Source organism: Homo sapiens, chromosome 18 (assembly GCF_000001405.40).
Source record: "Homo sapiens chromosome 18, GRCh38.p14 Primary Assembly".
Classification (NCBI taxonomy): domain Eukaryota; kingdom Metazoa; phylum Chordata; class Mammalia; order Primates; family Hominidae; genus Homo; species Homo sapiens.
In genome coordinates, this window is record NC_000018.10 from 49,957,168 (window position 1) to 49,983,389 (window position 26,222).

General features: G+C 46.6%; 1 protein-coding gene and 1 long non-coding RNA gene across 2 annotated transcripts in view, besides 2 other annotated features; both read right to left on the reverse strand.

Annotated features, from left to right (window-relative positions):
* MYO5B (myosin VB) overlaps window positions 1-26,222 on the reverse strand; it is a 372,359-nt gene that overhangs the window by 134,379 nt on the left and 211,758 nt on the right. The window contains exons 9-12 of the mRNA NM_001080467.3: window positions 23,277-23,386; window positions 17,183-17,448; window positions 5,782-5,863; window positions 5,099-5,239 (exon numbers count right to left, since the gene is read on the reverse strand). Coding sequence (NP_001073936.1) covers window positions 5,099-5,239; window positions 5,782-5,863; window positions 17,183-17,448; window positions 23,277-23,386 — 599 coding nt within the window. The remainder of the gene's footprint in view (window positions 1-5,098; window positions 5,240-5,781; window positions 5,864-17,182; window positions 17,449-23,276; window positions 23,387-26,222) is intronic.
* Window positions 12,554-17,171, reverse strand: LOC124904299 (uncharacterized). The gene is made up of 2 exons (XR_007066365.1): window positions 13,675-17,171; window positions 12,554-12,812 (listed from the first exon to the last, which is right to left on the reverse strand). It is a non-coding gene; the product is annotated as an uncharacterized LOC124904299 (long non-coding RNA).
* Window positions 16,860-17,361: an enhancer, noted in NCBI's record as "H3K4me1 hESC enhancer chr18:47500397-47500898 (GRCh37/hg19 assembly coordinates)". NCBI's record gives its function as "activates a minimal SCP1, AML or CMV promoter by ChIP-STARR-seq in primed H9 embryonic stem cells {active_cell/tissue: H9 hESC(primed)}" and the evidence as "EXISTENCE:reporter gene assay evidence [ECO:0000049][PMID:30033119]".
* Window positions 17,362-17,861: an enhancer, noted in NCBI's record as "H3K4me1 hESC enhancer chr18:47500899-47501398 (GRCh37/hg19 assembly coordinates)". NCBI's record gives its function as "activates a minimal SCP1, AML or CMV promoter by ChIP-STARR-seq in primed H9 embryonic stem cells {active_cell/tissue: H9 hESC(primed)}" and the evidence as "EXISTENCE:reporter gene assay evidence [ECO:0000049][PMID:30033119]".

Below are 26,222 nucleotides of genomic sequence, written 5' to 3' on the forward strand. Positions count from 1 at the left end.
AGGCATGGCAGTGGGGGAGTGCAAGTTCTGGGCTCCCTGAGCCCCTCTCAATGTTCCCTGTGGATCTCTAAACAGAAACTGTACACTCTCTATCACAGATGTTGCCATCGCTGGCCTGGGACATCTTCTGAGGCCAAAGCCTGCCCCCAGCAAAGCTGCTGACAGGAGCTGACTTTTAAGGACCCCAAGGCCAACCAGGCGCAATGGCTCACACCTGTAATCCCAGCACTTTGGGAGGCCGAGGTGGGAGGATGGCTTGAGCCCAAGAAGTTCAAGACCAGCCTGGGCAACAACACAGGGAGACCTCATCTCTACAAAAAACTTAAAAATTAGCCAGGCATGGTGGCACTTGCCTGTAGCCCCAGCTACTGGGGAGACTAAGGCAGGAGGATCGCTTGAGCCTGGTAGGTTGGGGCCGCAGTGACAGCTGTGATGACACCACTGTACTCCAGCCTGGGTGACAGAACAAGACACTGTCTCAAAACAAAACAAAACAAAACAAAACAAAAAAAGCCAAAAAAAAAAAAAAAACCAGACCCCAAGGCCAGTTATTCTATGTCTGCTTCTTTTCTCGTCCCTGTCTTCCTGGGCCACTGGCACCAACCTTCCTGGTCACTCACTGTCTCCTTCCATTCCATACTTCAGGCCTTGTACCCCTGCTGACCTCTCAAATCACTGTACCATAAATACCTCTGGATCCCCAGCCTCTTTAAGGAGTACCCTCTGGCCCCTCCCCTCTTTGCCATCACAGAAGCCCAGCTGGCCCCCCCCAGGACTCTGCAGTCCTCACTGCTCTCTAGAATGGAGGCAGCTCCTTCCTCCTCACCTGCCAGCCACCCCCAGTGCTGCTTCCAGGCCTTTATTTTTCACCTTTACAAAATACCCCTCTGCACGCTCAGCAAAACATTAATTCTAGATAAATCCAACTACCCATTCTCTCCTTACCCATACCTGGGTGGCTGGATGAGACCACACATCAACTCATCTTCCTTTAACCAAGCCCTGCCATTATACTTTTATACAAGTACTGCAGCCAAAAAATAAAACTGAATTTCACTCGGAGAATCACTTCTATGGATTAAGACACTGTTCCTAGATCTATGGAGGAAGTTGATCTCGACAACTCCTAAACCCCAATTTATGGTCTTTAACCACAGCCAAACAATCTGCGCACTCTGCAATTTCTCTTTCTGTTTACTGGGCAGCCATTCCCACCTTCCTCCATTCTCTTCAAGCTTCTGACCCTGCTGCCTCTCAGCAGATGCCTCGTCTCTTCCTTCATGGGGAAATAGAAGCTGTCAAGCAGGAAATCCCAAATTCCTGTCCTAACGTGCAGAAACTCATCTGCACCCACAGCCATCCCACCTTTCTGTCCTTCTCATGGAACAAAGGTCTCCCTCCTGGCTGGTCTTCCATCCACCCACCCCTGCCTCCTGGAGGGCCGCAGTCCACCCAAGCCCATGCTCCTCTCTCGCACCGCTTCTTTTTCACAGCCAAGCCTCCAAGAGTTCAAACTCGCTGTCTCCACTGCCTCACCTCCTGCTCTCCTCAAATTACTGAAATTAGGTTTCTGTCCCAACAACTCCCTTGGAAGGAAGTCCTCCACCCAAGGGACTCACGGAGGCCCTCTCCCTGCTGAGCTCCTGGAAGCCCTGGTTCTCTCCTGCCTGGCCTACCACATGGCCTCAGGGTGCTGCCCCCTCCAGGGTCTCCCCACCTCAGCTTGCACACAGTCTGGGAGACCTGCTGATCTGATCATTCACATCTGAACCCCTCTCCCCTGCTTCTCCCCTGTGGGCTGATACCTTGAGCTTCAGGGTGAAGCCCAAGTGCCTGCTCAGGGTGGACACGGCTTCTCATTCTCCCATGGTCCCTACTTTCCAACCTTACCTGCCCCCACCAGGAGTTCCAGACAAATCAGATCACTTCAAATTCTCCAAGTGTGACATTCCCTTCACCTGGAACACCCCCTCCTCATCTGACTTCGCTTGGGAATGCTCTCCCCACGACGCTCTTCCTTCTGTCATTTCCTCCACAGTGTTTCTGGTTCTGTGTCATCAAAGATGACACTTCAGTGCTTGCCTGACCCTCTCAAGAAGTGCTGACATCTGAAAAGCAGGGGCTCAGTGCACTATTCCGTGAACATGTGGTTTCTCATGTGAATGAATACATAAATGTGGCAAGGGCACTTCACCTCCCTCCATCACAGGAGTCACACCTCTACACGAAAGCGCTAGACAAGGAAACCTTTGGGGCCACTTCTTAAGAAACCACAATCCCCTGATCTGAATACAGAGTAAATCCTCCTGACAGCAGGCTGGGCCAGGTGAGGAAACAGGGGGCGGGGGACACTGGCCTCCCCACTGAGTGAGCTGATTTCACTCCACAGTCCTGAGTGATTTCCTTTCTTCCAGGAAACAAAGAATCCTCATCACAGGACACAGGGCAGAGCCTGCCGCCCCACTCAGACCTGCCGTTGATTGCTCCAACACCTCCAACTTGATACAGCGCCTGGGCTTCACTTACTAGAATTGCTTCCAGGGTTCAAGGTTGCCTGTTCCTCTGAGAGAAAGTGGACTGATGAATGGGAAGAGGATATTAGGAAATCCCAACCCAAATAGGGCTTAGAAGGCAGCAGGGGCTGGTGGGCACCTACTCCCCACCCGCCACCAGACATCTTTGGAGAGTCTTGTTACGAGCAGCCTGGAAATTAACATTGCTGACACTCAAACACCTTCTTGGAGGAGTGGGCTTGGGTAACGGAGGAACAATTTTAGTCTGTGGCTTGTTTGGGGCCTGTCTGCAAAGGGGCTTTTCCACCTCAGGTGGTTTAATAAATACCCTGGTCCAGTCTGCACTCTCCTCTGCAGCTGTGGCACCAGTCACAGGCCCTGGGGAGTGCTCCCTGCACACTCCCCCTTTAAACTCACAGCCACCCCATCTCCACACTTCTTATCTAAACCCCAGCTCACTACCCTGCCTGCCACTGCACAGCTTCCCCAAGAAAAGTGATTTTCCCACAGGCTGCTTCTGCACCATGAGTCCAATCCTTCATCTGACTTTATGTCCTGTCTCATGGGGTCACAGAACTCAACTGTTCACAGTGCAATGTATTATTCACTCTCACCCTGCAAAGTATCTGAGAGACAGGGAAGAAAGGACGTGTCTGAGGCTGCTTCCACAGCCCAACAGGATCCTTCCCAAGGAGCACCGCGTTGCCCAGCCACGGCAAACCCAGGGGGATTCCCTAACCTCCTCAGGCTCAGAGACATGGGTGCTTCCAGGCCCTACTATGTTTTAAAGTCAGGTTCATTGCAGAATAATTTCCATGCAGTAAAATGCACCCTTTCACTGAAGCATACAGTTCAGTGAGTTTTGACAAATGTAATAACACCTGTTGGCTTAAAATCCACCTGTTACTGATGCTCTATCAGACTATGCTAAATCATCCTGAATTTCCAGAACAATTAAACCTGTTACAAAAAGTCTCCACATTGTGGACTTTTGTCTTATTCCCTAATGTGGTGTTCAACTCATCTTCTTGGCCACCAGTGTGAGTTTACACGTGTCACATCCACAGTACCACCCAATGTCTTGACATGTCTAGCCCCCACCAGCCTGATTGGCAGGAAACCCAGGCTTTCCACAAACCTGTGTAGGACAAACTGCCTACTCCATGTGCCCTGAGAACTGTATACGACCTTCACCTTCACCACTTGGGAGGAGAGTGAAAAGCCAGGGTCCTCCTTGAGTACTGGCCCCAGGGAGCCACACCAGCTTAGCATCCCAGAGGCCTGGGTTGGACACAAGACATGGCGCTGCCTTTAGCTTCGGGGGTATGGAGCTGGAGGAGACGGTTACTGATGGGAATCTCAAAAGAGACTGGGGAAAAGGAGCATGACCTTGGCTGAGTTTGGGAAGGGAGGTGGTAGTAGTGGATGCTGAAACCAAGAAAATAAAAGTGAATCATGAACAGCAGGATGGCCTAGGCTGTGACTTCAGCCATTTAGCCAATGCTACTCAATCTAGGGACAATTGTTTTACCTTTACTGCTACCCCTCAGGTTAGGCAAGCCTGGACAAACACTTGCTACACTGAGAGATTATCTCTGCTTGGATACCGATTCTCGGGATGAAGCCCACATCTCTAGTGAAATGCTAAAAACCTTCAGGAGGTTAAAAAAAAATATGCAAGCTGTAGAACTGGTATATTTTTCTCTGTCTTCTACTGTTTCCCTTTCATTTTCAAAGGCAACAAAACTAGGAGAGCCCTTCTGAAAGGAAACACTTCCTACCAAACCATCAAGCCACACTTAAGCCTTTACAGGCAAGATGTGGGAGAGCAGAAAGTAAAAGCAAGTGGGTTCTTTCCCTTGCAATAGCAAGAATCATGTGGCTTTTATACCTGTTGATTAGTGTTTCCATCCCTGGAGGAACTGGTATATATTTACCCCTTTTAGCAATCAACCACTCCACTGGGAGAGATTTTGCAGATTAGATGAACCCCTATCATCGAGCAGGAAACCAGAGGCTAAAGAAGTTAGGTAATTGATAAAACCCAGATCCTCTAAACCTTACCCTCCCAATGCTGCCAGGCACTCTCCAGGCTGACAAGTCAGCACTCACCCCATCCCACCAGGTACAGCCCCTCAGAAACCAGATGGGGAAATTATGAATTTCACCTGCCACCATGCCATGCAACTCTATCACTCACAAGCCATCTGACGTGGCATTAGCAATCCCAGACTTTAGTCTTCACTCTCTAGGGATGCCCATTAGATGTTGCAGTTCTTCTCTTGGCACCTAGGTCACCTGGGACATCAAGTCCAAACCACCATATTATGCCAACCCGTGCCACCCAGGCTCCCCCAAGAGAGGCATACGTTTACCAGTGTAGCAACACCTGCCAGTCACTTTAAACATGTTGCCTTCTAGCACACAGAATGGTACATGCTTCTAGTATGCAGCCTGCCAACGCTTCTTCCAGCACACTGAAGGCCAGCTGATCACAGATGAAATTCCACCTTTGAGATCTTATGTGATTTCCTTGTATCACATCCCTACCCTAGAATTGAACTAATTTGCATCATCAGTTTTACCTTACATTCTTCATCCAACAGGTCCAAGATACCCAGCTTGGCTTCAATGAGGTCGATACAAGGTTGGTTATCATAAAAATCAATCAGGGTCCAAGGGATCTGTTCCTTCATGTATTCTTCTTGCTCCAGTTTGAAAACATGCTAGGGCAAGTAAAAAGGTCACACGAGTGAACTGCAGGCACACCTTAACATTCACCTCCCCCAGGGGCTCAGTGAGTTCTGGGTTCTGGAGGACAGCAGAGAACTGCCAGATAAGGTTTGGATGCTAAGTCATAGTTATGACTGCAGAAAAGCAAAGCACAGTTAGGCGATTCCTCATGCCTGGGTGAACACTTCCTGGGGGCACTTTAACAATCACCTGAGTTGCCGTATTCCCATTCAATCACAGGAAGCCCCATATCTGGCTTGCTGTTGCTTAAATACCCTAACACCTACGCTCAAGGAATGGGAGTCAAAGCCAAAGAGAAGATCATTTCCCCTCTCAGCACAGTTGCCCCCATTCAGTTCTCCCTCCTGAGCAGTGGAGAGCCCCTTCCGAAAGCTGGAGGTACCACCAGGAAAACCAAGGGATATCAGAACGTAGCCAGGGCCCACCCACCTCAGAGGAAGAGAAGTGGCCTGTCTGTCCCTCCCAGAGGAGTCCCCCCAATCCTGGTACCCCCAGGTCTAGAAACCAAGCCTACCGAGTTGAACTGCTGCTGGAGCTTTTCATTTGCATAGTTGATACAGAACTGCTCAAAGCTGTTTACCTCAAATGTCTCAAACCTACAGAATGGAAAGAGAAGATAAGAGACGTCTCCTTTCAACAAAGGAATCACTGGGACTTCAACAAAGCTGCTCTGACCCAGGTCTCCCCCGATGCCACTACAGAATCCCCATTGTCTCATCTTGTGTTCAGAGAGACCACTGTTGCAGAAGTTAGCACTACACAGAGCCTAATTGAAGAACATGTCTATTTTCAAAACTAGAAAAAGTAATGACAGCAGGAAAATTTTGGAAAAGAAAGTTTAAAAAAGAAAGTCAGCAATGATTCTATCATTCATATTGACCACCAGTTATATCTTGGTGGGTTTCCTTTTAGGAATTTTGCATTTTTGAAAAAAGTCAGAACTATGTAACATTTTACTTATTTAATTTAATTAATTAATTAATTTATTTATTTATTTATTTATTTTGAGACATGGTCTGACTCTGTCACCCAGGCTGGAGTGCAGAGGCGCAATCTTGGCTCACTGCAACCTCTGTCTCCCAGTCTCAAGGGATCCTCCCACCTCAGTCAGCCTCCCGAGTAGCTGGGACTGCAGGCACACGCCACCATGCCGAGCTAATTTTTCTACTTTTTTGTAGAGACAAGGTTTTGCCATGTTGTCCAAGCTGGTCTCGAACTCCTGGGCTCAAGTGATCCATCCACCTCAGCCTCCCACAGTGCTGGGACTACAGGCATGAGCCACCACACCTGGCCTTACCTTCTATTATCATCATTTAACATTCCATTGAAAACACTTCCCCACACCACTGTTCTGAAGGCATCAGTTTTAACATCTGTCTCATCAACCACTGTATAGATCAGGGCCGTGGTCTAGACCTGGGAAGTGCAATGGTGTCCAGGTGAGGGGACAGGTGGTGCTGAAATTCAGTCAGCCCCCTCGCAAGCCCCAGAGGGGTGTGTTCCATCCAGAGGGGACACCTTTACTTAATTAACACAGGTGCCCATGAGCTGGCAGTGGCCCCCACAGAGATGCATCATCATTTAACCACACCCCCAGTGAGGACATTTTGGTTCTTTTCTCAGTTGTTAGCTGCTATTAGTTTTGTGACAAATTCTTTGAATTCATAATTCTTTCCTTAGGATGCTAACCTAAAGAAATTACCATGTCAAACAGTACCACTTTTCTTAAAAGGTAGAAGTAAATTAACTCCTGGAAAGGTGGAACTAATGTTTGTTATGACCCCACCTCCAGCCTCACAATGTACGAAAGTGTCTTGTTCTTCTAATACTGGTTAACAATATTTTGTTTTAATCATCTTTATTGAGTTAGCCTTTACACACAGTAAAATACACCAATTTTAAGTGTATATTTTCATGCATTTTTCTTAAATTTTTTTTTCTCAACTTCTGTTGATGGGTGATGCATTTTTGATAGAGAATTTTTATATCGAGATGTTCTGTGAATATGCAAACACAGATGGAGGACATTTTCATCACCTGGAAAATTTCCCCATGCTCCATTCGGGTCAGCCTCCAGTGTTCTCCCCATCTGGTCCTGCCCCTCTTTACTGGGAGTCTGGGAATGGTAGTGTATCACAGCTCTTTGGTCAACTGTGTAATGTTAGCTTTTTAAAGTCTTTGGTTCCTTGGAACATAAAAAGTCTGAATTTTAACTTATCATTACTACAGCTCAACATTTTTCTGTCTGACTGTACTAGTCATTGTACTTCGTGAATTGTCTGATGCTTGGTCAATTTTGTTGGATTTTAACTTTAAAAATGGACTTACCTGAGCGCTTTGTATCTTAGAATATCAACACTATCATTCATTGCTTAACTCCAATGTGTGCAATATGGCCCAATCTTTGGGCAGGGGAAGGTGGAACCGTTAGAGGGGAGGATGGGGGTCATGATATGCAGCGTAGTGGGCAGAGGCAGGGGTCCTCCCTCAGGCCATGCTGGCTACGCCAAGGGGTCTGGAATTTACCAGGCAGCAGCAGAGAGATTCCGAAGGATGTCAAGTTAAGAACTGACAACCTGACCTGCACCTTAGAGACCGGCAGGAGAACAACTGTGAGCCGGGGGAGAGTGTGCAAGCCTGGAGGCACGAAGGTGAGCAAGGTAGTTCTTACTACAGTAGGAAGCCAGAAAGATCCAGTCAGGGCCTGACGTACACTGCTGGTGGCCAACCAATAGAAAGGTTCTGGGCATGAAGGAAGATGTGGATGAGAGGGCCTCAAATGACCAACTGGATGTGCAGATAAGACCCAGGCAACAGGATGGATGTGGTCACACTCACCATGCCGGCAACATTATACACACATTGGCAGCTTTAGCTACAAATGCTTGCAGCCCACCTTATATGCTCCACAGCAGCATCAGGCTGAGGGGTGAGAAGGGCAGAAGCCTATGAAGAAGAGATGGACATTTTCCATCTCTTCTCATTCACACACACTTCTTTTCATACAAACACACTTCTTTTCACACACACACACACACACACACACACACCTCTTCTCATTCTATACTGCCCAATGCACCAAATGGACGGCAGTGGCCCCACTAATGAGAGCCCACAGAACACTAAGCCCAAGTGCTCCACAAGTTCTGAGTAATGCCTCCAGCAGCCAAGAGTTAGGCCTTATTATTAATCCCATCCTGTGGCTGAAGAAACTGATGGGCAGGGAGACTGAATAAGCTGTGCTGCCCAAGGCCAGAGAGTCGGTAGGCAGAGGCAGTGTGTGAACCCAGACAGTCTGATTTCTGAGACCACAGTCTTAATTCAGAGAGGAGGAGAAGTTTCATGAAAAAGGAAAAACAGATGAGGTGGAAGGGCTGTGAATATGGAGGATGATGTCCTAGAAGGAGGTATTTGAGCTCATAGTGAATGGGAAAGGGCCAGTAATACCAACGAGGTAATAGCGATGGACACAGGCTCCATTCAGCCCACTCCATGTCTCTACCCTTTCCATTCTTCAGTACAACTAAATTTTCTCAGTGTCATACATACAAAGTGTCATGCAAGCCCTTCCAAATAGAGCATAGTCCCTCAGTACCACCCCAGAGAGAAATGTTGCAGCTGGCCCTGATGGGGGCTGAGGATGGTGGTGGTGGAGAGATAGCACCTGTGCAGAGGGAACACCACAGATAGAGGCATCAGATACCCAAAGGGGCCGGGCCGGTGCCCAGAATACATCAGGCTTCTCCCACCCTGGTGCTCACCTCCCCCATCAGGAGGAGTAGGAAATCATTTAGAGATTAAATGAGTCAACTGCTTGGAGACAAACCACATTAAAGCACAGCCTTTGGCCATGCCCACGTGTGAGAAATAATTCTAGGTTGAAAAAACAAGATCAAAGATGTAAAGTGTATGCTGGGATGAAGGAGGCCACCCCTGTGCACTCCAGACCAAGCAGGAGAAGCACTGTGTCTGCCAGTCACTGCCTTGAATTGGGGCCCTTCCAGCCCAGATGATAGTCTTAAAGACTGAGCTATGTCCCTTAGAACCTTACTGCCTTCCCCGATCCTCCACCCTGAGAGAAGCTGCTGATGGCAGCCAAGCCCCAGAGGAAATTGAATTAATAAAACCTAGGTGGGAGATAAAAGAGCCACCCCAGCAATTGGCCAGATAATAGCAATTGGGTGTGCTGGCAGAGCTGTGCTAAGCTCCACAGAGGATTTAAATATCTCAGACTTGTCATTTTCTAAAGGTTTACACTGGTAGCACTCCACAAAGAACATTCTCATTAATTTGAGATGGACTGAAATTAGCTTGTAATTTTCCTATTTCTAAGATATTATCTGGTAACAATTCCTGTGCCATCTAGCATAATTACTTAAATGCCGGAGGCCCAGAAATGAATGAGGGGCTCGGGCAGCTTGGGGAAACATCTAAAATGACAGACCTCAGAAAGCCACAGTTGGGGAGATTGGGTAACTTTTCCTTTACAATGGAATTATATTTATAGTAATTCCTCCCATCAACAGAGAAGACTTTTTAAAATAAACACAATGAATCAATTTATAGTTCACAACATTAAAGTGTCACAAAGAAATTTATATGCTAAAGAGAACTGAATTTCTCTTGTAAAATCAGTGTTGAAAATATTTAAACCAGAATCCTTGGGCCGGAGGAAGGTCAAAACATAGAGTAAGAATCGATGCTGAAATGTGGCATCTGGTCTCTCGATGGCACAATGATCACACTGTTTCCATTTCTATTTTCATAGTCGAAAAGTATACAATTTCCTTCTCATTCTACCTTAACTTCAGAGTGTAGTAAGGGACACAGATGCCTCTACAAATAAGGTAGTGTCCGTTGGAAAGTGAAACTGCAATAAAAAGTCAATTAGTCACTAAGTTAATGATCAACCTCCTTGAATCTCTCACTCCATGACCTGGAGAGAGAACAGAGAGGCAGTGAGATGCTTTGAAGATTGGGAAACTCTACGTTCCCCTGGCACAGGTCAAAGGAACTAAAATCTCCTAGCTCAGCCTGGTCTTTCCAATTTATAAAGCTCACTCTCCAGCATTCTGCCTTTGGTAGACTGAAAAGATGGACTACAGATTAGATACAGACGATAGCTTCCAGGGAATGATTATTAGAAGTCACACAGAAAATATAACATGGAGAAATTCTCCCTGGAGAAGCCTTTAAAAGCAGGGCCATCATGCATTGAGGTCAGAGAAATGATCCAGACATCCTTTCAAGGTCCCTTTCCATCTTGAAGCCTATAAAATCTCACAAGGCCACCCTGGGTCTGTCAGAGAGGCCAACCCTTCTGATCTCTTTACTGAACAACCTCGGGATGCTGGCTGTACCTTGGAATGGTGGGGCCTGCATTCCGCTCAGGTGCTTCTCTGTGCCTAGATGCCCCCACCCAGGACTAGTTTTTTTAGACAGAACACAATCCCAGGCACTGTTCACACCCCAAGGCGAAGGTCAGTTATTCTTCTTGAGGACCTAAATCCACTCAGTTTGCCAAATGCTCCAATTCCCAGCTCGTCTTCAGGCCTGAAACTCCAATGCAGGACAGGAAAACATCCACTGTATGGCGATCCTCTCCCAACCTAACAGCCAACTGTCCCAAACTATGAAGGCTGTAAAGATGAGCAAGTCACAGTCCCTGCCCAGAAGAGCTACTGGGCAGATGACAGGAAACTAGTACATGAGAGCCTCCCCAAGGAATAGAAATTGTATGTGTTGTAGGCTTTTAAAAGACAATGAGGCCATAGTGTTCCCAAACCAAACTGAGGGTCGGGCTGCTTATTCTCGTGGCCCAATAACAAGATGCAGATGAGCTGGGGAGGAAAAGAGTTTTTACTTTCTGCAACCAGTTACAGGGAGAAGGCCTGGAAATTATCGCCAGCCCAACTCAAAATTACAAAGTTTTTCAGAGCTTATATACCTTCTAAGCTGTATGTCTACATGTAAGTGTGCATTCATCCAAAGACATAAGTGATTAACTTCTAATCTATAACTAAGATCTGAGTCTTGAAGACTTTCCTCTGGAGCCTCAGTAAATTTACTTAATCTAAATGGGTCCGGGTGCTGGGGTGATTACCCTTATCTTGTCTCCTGCTAAATCACGGAGGTTTGGGGAGTTCCTTCAGGCCCCCCAATAAACTTGTTTCTAGAGGCCTGGGGAGTTTCTTCAGACCCACAATAAAACTTGTTTAATCTTAAACGGGTCCTGTTAAGAATTCATTCCTTATTTTGTCATGCTTTAAGGCCCAGGAAGGGCCTAGGCAAGACTCTTGGTGGGCTCTTGTTACATTCCAGCCTTTGTATGAGGGCACTGACTTTTTTAGCTTTTAATATTTAACTTAACCACTCACTCAGTACTGAAACAGTTGCTATAGAGGCCTGCGTTAGTGAGACCTGGACTGCCACATAGTGTGGGAGTACTGGCATGGACAGAGAGAACATGGAACTTCATCTGAGCCTTGGAAGCACACAGTGGTGTCAGGCTCCAGGCACACTCCAAAGGGCCACCTCAGAACAATTCGGGAAGGTGGAGCCTGGCTTTAGAGCCCTCTTGAGCTATGAGGCTTTCCTAGGAGGCTGGGAGACTCCAGGGTGAAGCCAACAGCTTCCGATGATCTGCAAGGTTTGAGAACACTGTGGCTAGCCATGCATGTCCTCCCTGAAGAAGGCATGTCCAGGGATCTTCTGGGCTGTCCAGGGCTGAGACACTGTCACAGGCTGAAGGGTTAATGCAATTCCTGATTTCTCCCCCTCCATTTTCTGTGAAACCTTTCGATACTGGCTAGAGAAGAGATGGGTAGCCTCCAAATAATTATTGCAGCTTTGAGGTTATTTATGTTTATTTTGGAGAGCGAGACCAAGAAAACTAAAGCAAAAGAATATTTTTTCCCCACCAAACAAAGGTGAACAGTGGGTCTAAGAAGTTTACTTAAAATATATCATTGTAGTCAACCTACAGAACGTGAGGAAATATTTGCAAATCATATTTCTGATAAAAGATTAATAACCAGAATATGTAACAACTTGTAAATGAATATGTAAAACACATTCCGCCTGCTCCCACACTGTGGCGTGTACTTTCATTTTCAATAAATCCCTTCATTCCTTCCTTGCTTTGTGCGTTTTGTCCAATTCTTTGTTCAAGACGCCAAGAACCTGGACACCCTCCACCGTTAACAACACAGTGCTGGGATTATAGGCATGAGCCACCGCGCCCGGCCTTAAAGGCATTTTTAAACATACCATTAAAGAGCACCGAATAGAGTTGGATGCTAATTTATTATTAGGAAGTACCACAAGAAAGTAACAGAGGACTGATGAGGATATAAAATCCCAGGAAATCCTATGTCCTGCTTCCTGGGGTCAAAACTTCCCCACCTTCTACCCCATTCTCTCCCCAGCTGTTCCTCAGCAGAACACATGAATCTGTTACAGCCTGTGTTGCTCCCAGGCCAACTGTCCTCCGCAAGAATGGGCTGGCCATAGCCAAAGCCCTCTGCTACCTTGGCATCTTGAAGGCTGAAATCAAAGACAAGTAAATGTGTATTTTTCCCAAATTGAAGCCGTTTATTTCTTGTTGCCTCAAAGAGAGGATAGGAACAAAGGATTAGAGACTCAAGGGGAGGAGAGGTATAAAGGATTACAGACTGCAATTAATCAGGCCTAGAGAGGCAAATGCAGGTTAATGCAACCTGGAAAGGGAATCCCAGCCAAAAGCTGCCAGGATCTCCCCTATTAATTTCCATACCCTGCCTGGTCAAAAATACCCTGAAGGCGACTTCACAGATCCTTGGTTAAGGTGAAGAGCTCAGCTTGGGGTGACTAAATTGTTCTGAGTACTGCTTGCTTTGCACTTTTTGTGGAGCTGGGACAGAGGAGCAAGATGTAGGGAAGCTTCCACCAGACACTGGGGGTCTGGAACCATTCAGAAAAGCCTTGGGGAAGGGCCTCTGAGCAGAGCACTCACCACAGTCATGGTGGAAGCAGCTGTGGCCCATGCTAATTTGTTTAGAAGCCCACAGCCTTTCTCCTCTACAAGCTAACTATGAGTCAGAACACAGTGATGGGGAGAAATGTGTGTATACGATGCTGGCGTGTGTACTGCTTGCTTATAGAAAGAAGTGAGTGTGTATTCACTCTGGCTGTGAGTTCTGTGGTAACATTTAACACATTTATAGGAAAAAGTGGAGTGGCTCATGTTTGGTACAGAATTATTTCGGTTCATGAATGAGCTTCACTGGCGGGCCAGGAATGCCCTAGATAGGCACTGCAGCTCATCCGGGGACAGTTATCCCAGTGGAAGAAATCAGTGGCCACTGGTGGGGTCAAGGGGAAGAAGCAGCAGTTCCACCCTCGTTTCCTAGCTTTGCCCATTTCCAACCTGAGAGGGAGGCAATGTCTCGTTCTTTTCCACTTCCCGGATGTGGCTGGCTGTATTCAGAAACTCATCCCAGTATTCTTTCTGTTCTCTCTGGACTCCACTTTTGCCACTCTTGCTCAAAAGAGACAAGGAGAAGTGAGAAAATCAAAGACATCAGGTCAGCCCCAGGGCATCCTCTATGGGTACTCAGGCATCCCCACACCCCCACTAAGAAGGAGTGAGACAATGGACAGATGGTCTTCTCCTCCAGGGTTTGATGGCCAGGGATATGAATAGAAAACTCAAAAACTAAACAACGCTTGGGTTTTCTTATGCCACAGAGGATGAAAAACTCCTTAGAATCACTTCCCATAGTCATGAATAGAATAAAGCCTAATGACTGGAATGAGTTTGAACTGGGAAGGAGGTGAGTAGAGAGGGCGAGAAGTGGGGCTGAGTGTGATGCCCACTTCCAGGTAACCAAGAAATGACCACATTAAAAAACAAAAAAGGCAGGTTTGGTGGGTTTCTGGAAGGTATGTGAAGTCCAAAGGAAATAAGGCAGATAAGACACTGTAAGTGGAAAGGGGCAGATGACAGTAAACGGCTCACACATGCTATCCCAAGTTTCCACCCAGGGTTCTGTGTTGTTTTCTCCCAGATTAAGAAATGATATCACTGACCTGATAGATTAGAAAGTACCTCCAGACTCAAGCCACCTGCTCTTCCGTTAATTTGTTGATTTTAATCTCCTAAGAGTTCTCCTAAGAGTTCATTACATACCCTCTCACCAGAAAGACAGCCTGGGCCAGTCCACATTTGTAAAATTTCTTGGTGAATCAGACCATTGAGTAGCATGCACTTCCATATTTAGGGCATGTATGTAAGTGCTTTCTTGGCAACCAATGGCCCAGGCACACAGCTAGCTTGTTCACTCTGAATTCCCTTGTATCTAACTTGTTATCCTTAACTCAGAGAGAGTGTGAACTCAGCACTGCATTGAGCTACAGAGGAGTAACTGTGCATGGGACTTATTTGTCTCAAGAAGAAGAGTCACTTTTAAAATATGACAACTTTATAACAAAAAAAGTGAATTGGTTTCTGAGAAAGAATGAAGATTAAGAAAAAAACAACATAGCATGCCCGGAAGAAAGCACAAAGGGTAGGAAAATTCCCAAGAATGGCCTTATGCTGATGGCCCTGTATCGGGACCCTGCCCTCATGGAAGAGCTGTCAGATAGTCTCAAAGGAGCCCGGAAGCCACTCTGAGATGAAGGAGACACAGGTGAGGAGCTGGCACTAGGAACAGGAGACCAAGTCCTCCAGGTTGCCACCCCATCCATGGAAAACTATTGTTTTCAAACCAGACAAGCCATCCTTGCGATCTATTTCTCCCCTTTAGGCAGTCACAGGATGTTAGAGAAAACAAACAATTACAAAAATTAAATGGCAAATATAAACACAAAATCCCAGCTTGCACAAACCGGGCTGACATCTGTGGACTCAGCAGCCCCACGAGCCCAGCTCACGGAGGCCTCCTAAGAACAGCAAAAAACCCAGCGGAAGATCACAGGGAAGGAGAAAGCAGACTCTTTAAATTCAAGGCACTGTTAAGATGATATAGAAATACAACAGAACTGAGGCATGGTATTTTATGTAGCAGTAGTAAGGAAATCATAAAATTTTTACATGCTATTGACAAGTCTGCATGTTAATCTTCCTAAATCAAAACCTCAGTAAAATTATATCCTTCTACAAGTGGATTAAGGGAATTGGGTCAGCTTGGGTTTCCCCAGGTCTTACTTGGAAGGTAATACCGAAAGGTCAGTATTTTGGGATATCCAATTACCTGAAAATACTCAAAGTAGAGAGATCAACACATAATTAATGATTGACAATGAGACTGGAAGTTCCCAGAGAGCACACTGTTCTATGCTCTCCCAAGAGCAACTACAAGGGCTGAGCACAAGGCAAGCACTCGATGGACCAGAGGAGAAGGGGCCTGCCTGGGGTCATGCAACTGAAGGCCTGGGGAGGATGCCTCTTCTCACCTCCCACTCTCGGTGATTCTCCACTGTGTGCTCCTTATCAGCAAGGAGGTTTGCCTTCACACTCTGCTCCTTCCTCATATCTTGGTTGCACTCCTGTTCCCAAAGATGCCTCCCTCACTTTCCATATTCTTCCCCTGTTCATATGATCCAGTTCAAATCTTAGCTCCCACATAAAGCTTGCCCAACTGTGCAAGCGTGTCCTCTCCAGCCTTGAAACTTGTACAGCACGAAGCATCCAAACCCTCAAATAGACCCTTCCACAATTTCTTCTGATGCCTCTTATGTCACTTAACTCGTGCATGAGACAACTCCTTCAGCATCTTCCTGAGGCCTTTGTGATGTCAGAAATCACAAAGATTGTCTTCTTTCTCCATAGCATGCAACATAGTTCAATTTGAAACCCAGGGATGAGCAACAGCATCAGAGATGTAATCAGGAGAGCCTGTCTCCGCATGCCACGTGGGGAAGTGGCCACTTCTACAGGGGACTGGCCTTTATTCCAACCTCATCATAAGGTGAGTACCGGGTGAGTTCTAGCCTGCTAAGCAGTTGTTCGCACTAGAGTGTCACTGTTCTTACGACGCTTCACTTCTATGGATCTGAATTTCTATTTTAAGATGCCATGACTTCTATAATTTAAAGATCCAGGAGGATTTAGTCTATTGTTAGCTTAAAGAGGACAGGACATTGGTCAGAAAAGAAGTGCAAGGTAGGTTGCAACCCAGTTCGTGTTAACTTCAAACAAGGACCTAGAAAGAACCTCAGGGAGACTGTGGCTCAAAACCTCATTTGAAGCTATGAAATGAAAGACCAGAGAGGGTCTGCTATCTGTGGAGATTCACTCAGCTGGTTGGTGACAGTCTCCCGATGGCTAGGCAAGTACACTTTCACCACACCACGGTGGCTCTCCCTGCCAAAAATAAAGTTATAAATAACAGTCCTTTCAATCAGGCTGGAATTCTGAAAGGAAGAGAAACCTCAGGAATGACCACACACAACACAAATCTGCACAGCCCTGGACAAAATTATGGTACTAAAATAGCCACCTTGACTGTTACAGTCAATGAGGTCAAATGGTAGATTGAAATAAAACATTACTGAGATACAGAACTTGAATTTAAGTTCCATTTCTCACAGTAACTTGCAAAATCACATTGGGCAGGTCATTTCCCTCTCTTGGCCTCACTTTCTCAGGTGTAAAAACTGACGCTTACAGGGTTTCTCATTGGGAAACTCCTGGTGTTTTGACAGGTCCATTCTTGCTTGGGGACTGTTCCCTTACATTATAGACCACTAAGCCTCCCTGGCCTCAGGCCCCATCATTGTGTCAACTAATCAACTAAAAATGGCCCCACACATTTTAAACTGCCCTAAGTTGAGAACCACCAGGAAGCTCTCCAATGCCCCTGCTGGCTGTAAAGTATGAGCAGGAAGCCACTCCCAGGTAGCAGATAGAGCGAGACAGGCGGCAGGCCTACCCATAGATGTCCAGGACCCCGATGAAGGAGTGCTGCTTGAGGGAGGTGTGCAGGGCCTTGTTGATGTGCTCCACAATCCAGCCGAACAACTGGGCATAGATGTGCTTCGCCAGGGCGTTGCGCGCATTGATCACCTGCTGCAGGGACATGGTCTTGACGTAGGTCTCCGAGGTGGTGACCAGCTTGCGATGACACAGCCAGTGCTCCATCTGACTGTGCTCCACCCCTAGCAGTCGGCAGAAGTTGCTTAGGTATACATCCTGGGGCTGTGGGAGATGGGGGAGATAGGTTCAGGAGGAGTGTGGGAGACAAGCCGCCCCCCACCAATGTCTTCCACCCTCCTGCCCAGAGGGAAAACAAGCCAAACTCAAGGCCTCCCAGCCCTCCAGAATCCCAGCACATGCCCTGCTGCCAGCCCAGCAGTCTCTCTCACACACACACACACACAGACACACACACACACACACACACACACACACTGCTAAGTGGAGATGACAGAGCCCATAAGAGAGCAATGCTCAGACTGGTCATTCCACCTGCTAATGACCAAATTATAGGACTTTAAAAACCAAAACATTCTCCATCTTTCTTGTCCCCTCCCTCCATGCCAGGCTGCTGCTGAGTAACTGGTAAGAGGCAGGTCCTGGAGTGAAGGGAGCAGAAAGAGAATTGAGAGCTTATGACCATGCAATCCATTCGGAGTAACGAACACATTCACACCAAATGCAGTTTGCATCTGCTGAGGTATGCATGCAGTGCTTGACCCACAGCCCAGAAAGCAATTCTCTTCCTCTCTCTTAGAATTCCTCCCTTACAGGCATTGCCTTTGACCCGACCCATCTAACCAGCTGTATGCTCAGAAACAAGCCCCAGGCTCCTAAGGTGGATGGGCCCTTCGAAGGCACTAGCCATGTTCCTCCCTTAGAAGTCAGTTCCCTACTCTGTAAAATAACATGATGGGCCAGATCAATGATTCTCTTCTGGGTGGGTAGCTTAAGTGAGAATCACCTTGAAGAGTTTCTGAAATTGTATATGATACCAGTGAGTGGTTCAGATGTGCTGGGTGAGAGGCTGAAACGCAATAGACGATGTCACTCCCAGCACTGACCCTGCATTGTCCTATGCTTCCAAGCAGGCTCGCTTTCTTCTTAGCCTCATTGATGCTAAAATCATAGAAACTGAACTTTTTTTTCCCCAAGAAGCAAGCGTTTTAAGTATGTAAACAAAGTTCCTCAGCGTGGAAAGCTAAGATACATGGCAAACCCCTGGACCACATCTTGACCTGGGAAGATCATCTGGAACACTTCCACTGATAATATCACACATGCTCAGAGCTGGAAAGAAACTGGAATTCCTCCAGTTTAGGCCTCTTTTCCTACAGGCAAAAAGCTGAGCTGAGCCCCAGAGAGGTACAACTACTCAACCAGGCCCCCGCCCCACCCCCAGCACAAGGCTTCTACCACGGTCCTGCCCGATGTATCTCCTGCCTACCCCAGCTGCCTCTACTGACTATGTGTGAGTCTTGACCCTCATTTACCCAAATACCAATCACATCACCTGACATTTGAGTCACTGGAAAGCCACATTTCCCACAGGGTCTTGTCTTCTTTCACCAAAATGTACAAATTCCTTGGATAATCCTTGCAGCCCACTTGGGGCACTCTGAGAAAACCTGCTCATCGTTGTTATTCATTCTCTCACCTGTTTTTCATTCCCTCAACTGAATCCACCTGGGAAAGCTGGTAGCCCAGGCTCAAGCCTGCTGGAAAGCTTATTAACGCTGAGGCTGAAAGGGAATCCTTCAGAACATGATGTGCCATCTCCTAATGACCCTCAATTGCTTGTGGGACTCATTTTCTGATGAGGCTGACTTGTAGGATTTAAATGAGGGCTTAATGAAAATTAACACAGATAACTGTATTATTTCTCCCTTAACACCATATCCCCAGGCAATTTTTTCCTCCTACATATATTTAAAATCCATCTACCCAAAACAGTTATAAAATAATAGAACGCCAGAATAATAGAATCCAAAATCACTAAGGCCAGTGTTTTTCCAATGTATGGTTTATGGAACAGTAGTTGCAAAGAACATTAGTTGGCTTTACTTAACAGAAGGAGAGGATAGGACCAGGTTAAACACAGCTGAACTGGTTTAATACACCATGTAGCACCAAGAGATAGATATTTTAAGAAGCATTTTTGGAATGTATTTGACCAAAGAATGCTTATGTTCTTAAGAAATTGCATTCTAATCCGATGTCCCTTACTATTCAGATGAAGCTGAGTGAGGCCTCCTGCCTTCTGGCCCAGAGCTCCTAACCCCAGCCCTGCAGGACAATCAGCTTGGTTTGGGCCGGGTGGGTGTGGAGAAGCCCCCATCTTTTCACACTCAGCAGAGAGTTTCCATGGCTACTTCTCCTGGCCAAGATCCTTTTTCTCTGAAGCCAACCTGTCTCCCCTGCTCCCCGACTCCCCTAAACATAAAGCCATATGTAGTAGAGTTAAGTGCCTGGGGACCGCTTGGCAGGCAACAAGTTCAGAGGTGGCAAGCGTCCAATTTGTTCATCTGACCTATTTCCAAGAAATTCTTAATTGCTAGGCACGGCACTGCAGATGGATTCCCTGACATTTAAGTGGCCTGCCAGCAGCTACCATGACTGCCCAAGACATGCCCACGGGCACCCTCCCCTGCCTAAGGCCTCGCGCTGTGAGTGCAGTGGAGAAAGCACAAGTTAGAGACTTGTCTGAGAAACCACCCTGGGGACCGGCTTTTAACCACCACAGTGGGGCGGGGCTTGATTTTCTCACCCTCTTCCGACTGTTGATTGAAGGTGCTGACTGAAACTGATTTAACATCGTACAATTACATTTAGGCAAAATTAAATGATGCTAAATCCATTAAAAATAGCCAATATAATAAGTAGCAGATCAGTTTTATGGGCCCATATTGCTAAATTCAAGAAACAAATTGAATGCTGTTGCATCTCCAAGGCAACCCTGGCAGTCATGGAGCACATTCTCATGCTTTAATTAAAAATAAAAACTACTGAGCAGAAGGCACACTGCGTATGGAAAGACAGCCTTTCCAATAGAAGCTCCATCCTATGTGCCCGAGGAATAAACCACAATCAGTGGGGCTCTCGGTAGCAACTATTAACGATGCATTTCTCAAGCACACATTCTGTGCCTGGCACTGTGAGGGCACCAATGGGGCTCACCAGGCAAGCAGAGGGCAGTCTCCTCCCCAAGGACTTGTAGTCCAGCCGAGGAAGCCAGGCTGGCAGGAGTGAAGTGGACTGAACACTGCCTGGGCCCTGTCCCACCTTTGCCATTGTCATTCTAACCTCAGAGAAAGAGGTTCCCCTCTCTGGGCCTTATTTTTTCCTCCCCTGTACAGCAAGAGGGATGCTCTTAAGGTCCACTCAGGCTATAACAAGGCTGATATTAGACAAAGACTCTCTCAACCACGAGCTCTGTGCTAAAACCTTTCCACACAGGGCTTTCTGGGATCTTCACTCCAGCCCTGAGGCAGGTGGTTATCCACACTTTACAGAAGAGGAAACAGAGAGGTTAGCACACTTGCCGTAAGTCACACATCCAGCAAGAAGAATCAGGATATGAACCTTGGCCATCTCGACTTAGAGTCCTTGCTGTCCACTAGCTCTCTGTACAGCTCTGATTGCAGAACAATGGAAGACCAGCCTAGACCACAAACCTGCACTCAAATGCCTTCTGGAACTTCCTGCCGCCTAGCAGAGAAAGGGCTGCCACACCAGGTAGCATCCAAACCTCAACCTCTCAGGCCTCCTCCCTCCTGCCCCCTTTACCACCTGCATCCTCCATCCATGCCTCCCTAAGAGGCCCTGATGTTCCCACCCTCATACTATCTCCACACAAACACTCAGTGGGTACTAGAGGGAGAACAGTGAGCCCAACAGATACAGTCCTAATAAACACTCACTTCCCTTCTCACCTGAACGTTCTCCGGAGGCTGGGTGTGGAGGGTCAACTATAAGATCAGAGACACTTCACTTACAGGCTTAAGCCTTAATTTTGCTGGTCTCGCCCCCCAATGCAGGTAGGTGTCCACGGACTCCCCAGCCCTGGTTCTCATGCTAACCATCAGCCTCACTAAGATCTCAGAATTGCCCATCCACTCTTACTCTCCTGTGTGCCACCCCTGAGGCCTGGAGAGCCTCAGTCATCCACCCATCTACTTCTTGGGTACCTGGTGAGTGCTGAGCACCACAATAGATGCTGGTGATAGACTAAAGAGCGAGAACTGACCCTACTCTTTCAGAGTTTGGAGTGTCACAAAGGAGAAAGGTAGGCAGCAAGTAATACACACACACACACACACACACACACACACACACACACACACACACACACAAAATGCTCAGCCCCACAGAGGAGAGGTAAGAACCCATGAAAGAAGAAGTGACCTGTGAAGGGCCTGGGGAGGAGCAGGGTGTTGGGCGGGCTGGAGGTCCACAGACCACAGAGCACATCTGTCACCTTTCCTGCCTCTTACCAGCCTCAGCCAGGCCTTGGTCACTGCAGGTGTTCCTCATCTCACCTGTCCCTGACACAGAGTACAGCTGCCCTGAGGAACCACAGGACATTGACTGAGCTGTATGCATGGGGAGGCACAGATGCTCTATGCCTTTCTTATCAGGGGAAAGACACTGGGACAATACATCACTGGCCCTGAAGACTCAGATTACGGGAAGGTTTGTCCTGCACTGGAGGTTCCTCCACCACCCCCTGGGCCACAGGTCCTCCTCTGAACATGACAGTCCTTCTCATGGCATCACTGCTGCCAACTCCACTGTACCATGCCCTCCTTCCCCCTAAGGTGAGCACCCACACAGGTATATAAGCAGCAGATGTCCAAAACAGCTCCAGGGCACCTAACGCTACCAGCACCAACACCTCCTCCTTTTCCACTGGGCCCGACAGGGGAGCTTCAAGGCTCTCACGAGGCTGCAGAGTCCATGCCAGGGATGGCAGCAGGCCAGACAGGCCCAGGGGCCCTCTCAAACCCTAGATCATTCCCCACAGATTGTGTATCCATCCATGGATGATACACAATGAGCTCTACTGAATCCCAGCTACAGTTCAGGTCTTCCTCTCCCTGAAGACAGGGCCAGTTTGAACTTCTCATAACCCCCAACTCTAGACAAACAGAAGGAGGTTAATTTACGTCCACTCAATTGAATAAGCATTAGCTTGTGAGCAGCATGGACACGTGCCCTCAGGTAGTGTTGTCTTTTGTATTTTTCCAGTGTCTGGTTATTTAAATTCCAAGTCCCTGGAAGCAAGAATCATACTTTGTACCTCCCCAGAACCTGGCCATAAATGGGCATAAGAGGTATAGAATAAACAGTTGCAGATTCACCTATCCAAGGTTAGAATACCAGCTTTAGCTTTTCCCAACACCATTAAATTCCAGAAGGCACAGCAATTGCTGTGGGTGCCACTTCCCTGGTGCTTACTCCATCACCCGTCCATCCACTTAGACATTTACCTACCACATATCAGTACTACATTGGGCATCAGGAAAATAACCTTCATTATGAGCCTTCACGGAGCACTTGACAGCTTGCAGTACTTTCACATGTGTGTCTCACTTAACAGCCTGCCTTGTGCTGTCAGAATCTTGGCAAGGGTTGCCACCTGTCTTGTCCACCCAATTAGACTATAAGCCCCTTTGAAGCATCACCAGGTACAGTGCCCTGTGCCCTTTCATCTCCTTGCAGTGGGGACCTCAGTCTGGCACTCAGAAAGTACTCAATTGATTGACAACAAGTAGAATTCTGTGTACTTCAGGGTACTTGGGAAATCAACCCAACAAAAAGAATTTATCAAATAGCCACTACATTCCCTGTCCTCGGCAACAGAAACTTGATGGCAGCTGATTTTTAAAGGGTTGGCTCTTTTAAAAAATTATCAGCAAGTGAACAGAAACCATTACTGTTAAGAATAAATAACCTATGAGTGTCCTCTAACTGGAAAGACACATTTCAGTCATATCAAAGAACAGGGTAAATTGTGTTCATTTTATCTCCGGTGTTGGTGTGCAACTTACTGATATACTACAGGAATCACCATCACGCTCAGCCTGAATCGCCACACTTCCAAGGTGCAAGATAGAAGCAATTATCTTAAAAATGCTCATCTGATGGGACTCTTTCACTCCTGGAAAAGAAAAATGAATGGATGACACTCAGTATCCATGGTCGGACAGAAAGGACATTTTACCCCTTTTAAGGACATTTTTTTTTTTAATAAGGTTTGATTTTTCTTTCTGACCCGATGACTCCTAAAATGATCCAGGCTCCTCACCAAGTAATTACCACTCACAGTAACAGCTCAGAGGGCAAAGGGGCTCCTTGGACTAAAAAGAAAATATCTTCACTATGATCGTCCTGACCAAATCAGATGGGTCAAGCTGCCATTTTAACTTCTCAAAGAGCAAAGCAGAGGCAGCAATCCTGCAGGCTCATTTTGGGCTTCATTTCAACCAAACACTTTATGGATGTTTTTATGAGTTTAATAAGAATGGTCATGTATCTGCAATCATTTTTTCTCCAACATAATATCCTGTAAACATCTGTGACACACATCCCCAGTGCCAATGAGGGAAGAAAAGGAGAAACTTCTCTTGGGATTGCTGTTCTGGGGCTGGATGGCCAGCTGGCCCCTGGCCATCCCCAGATGGAGCAGCTGTTCGCCACACTATATGCACTGTCATAGGCAGGCACACTGATCCCAGAACCACTGTGGCAGCAATCACGTGTTGTCAGATTTGTTATTTACCTATACGAATCATCAAAGGCATGGATAATCTCTTAATTTGTATTTAGCTTGCAAGGCATTGGCGTTTTTACAGAATGATTCAGACTCATTTTTAAAAGACTACAGAACAATAGAATGAATACCAGTGAACCTTCCACTTAGTTTAAGAAATACAGCTGCTCTCCCCATTCCTCCCAGCTGCAGTTAATTTTTAAGGCAATATTTTATTCAGGCTAAAAAACAGTAACACCTGTAAAAATGGGAGGCACAGATGTGCCATGCTAGGATTAAAAAATTTCCCCAGATAATCTACAAAGTGGACAACCCAAGCAACATTAACTCTAGGCTTTTATGTTAGATGGCCACTACCATGTAAGCATCATAGATTTACTTTTTTGATTTTATTATGTAAAATTTCAAAACATACAAAGTAAAGAATAACAAAGTAAATAATATAATGAATCCCTGTTCTTGCTTGTCATTAGATTCCCAGGGCCTTGAACACTGCCTGGAACATAGCAGGTGCTCAGAAACCTGAATGGTAGAATGACCGGATCGCTGGCTACTACACAGGCTGCAAGTATTTGCAGCTATCAAAACATATGCATTATTTGAATACGTGGTATTAGCTTAAAAATCCCCCCCAAAAAACACCAAAGAATTTAAGCGTCCATCTTGGTTCAGCATAACTGAATACACCTGGTGAAAGGAAGACAGATTAAAGCCAGAGGCTGGTATTCAGGACAAGACAGGAAGCTAGGCACTTATGCACCCTTGTAGGAGGTAAAACACTGGGGTTTTTTGTCTGAGCTTAGAGTATCTTGCTCTTAAGTCAAGTCCCATTGAAAGTGCTAGACAGGAGCTGGGTGCTGGTACCATCACGGAACAAGAAGGATATACTCCCTAGACAGTAGCTTTTCTACTTCGTTTATCTATTTTTTTGAGAGAGGGTCTTGCTCTGTTGCTCAGGCTGGAGTCCAGTGGCACAGTCACTGCAGCCTCAAACTCCTGGGCTCAAGCAATCCTCCCACTTCAGCCTCTTGAGTAGCTGGGACAGGTGTGTGCCAACATGGCCAGCTAATTTGTTTTATTTTTTGTAGAGACAGGGTCTCCCGTGTTGCCCAGAACTCCTGGGTTCAAGCAATCCTCCTGCTTCAGCCTCCCAAGGTGTTGGGATTACAGGCATGAGCCACTGTACCTGGCCTACTTCCTTTACTCTTGAGAACCAATGCTCTGTCAATTTCCAAAGACCGAACCACCCTGTCATGGTAGGAATTTAAGTGGTAGACACAGAATGAATACTGAATCCTAACAATAGTTAGGATCCTCGCACTACATTGATGAGAACATCCTTTCCTGCTGTGGGATTCTTTGAATAAGTGGTACCTCACGCTATGGGAAGCAAAAAATCTAAAAACAAAAATCAATCAAACAAACCTAAGGAGTAAAACAGGGGTTGGCAAACTATGGCCCACAGCCTGTTTTCATAACTAAGTTCTATCGGAACACAGTCATGCCCACTCTGTTACGTTCTGTCTATTGCTACTTTCACAAAACAGCAGAGTTGAATGCTTTGCAACAAACTGTATGGCCCACAAAACTAAAAAAATTTACTATTTTGTCCTTTAAGTTTGCTAACCCCTGCAATTAAAAAAGGGACATGTTTATTAAAGAATAGAGAAGAAAGTCTTATTACAATAATTAGTTTTACAAAAGCAATTTGCTTTGAGCATTAAAGTATCCAGTGTCCTTAGAGCCTTGGAGGGAGCAATCCTCTCCTTATATCAGCTTGTGCCCACTGCCCACATCAGCACTACAAGGGCAGCTGCCAGAGATCTTCTCCTTTCTCTGATAAATTCAGAGAAGAATGTATCCTGCACACTGTCAAGTCTGCTCCAAACCTGCCCAACTCTGGAGACTAGGATAGGCATGTAGTGCTGAGGAAGTCAGGGATGCCAGTTATCAACTTATCTCTCAGCTTCAAAGCATCCCCTTTGCCCTGCTTTATCAAACTGAAGCTGGGCCCTGTAAACATTTCTCCTTTGCCTACTGGTAGAATGTCAAGCTTGCTCAATAGAGGGTATTCCGGCGATTTGCAAGGCAACAGAACATGAAGACAATTCCCTTTCTGGTTCTGGTCCTCCATAGTTATCATGATTTATCAGGGAGCCCAGAAACCTCCAGATGAGCTCCAGCTCTGCCCTCAGACCTGTCTCCCCATCAGCAGTGGCTTCTG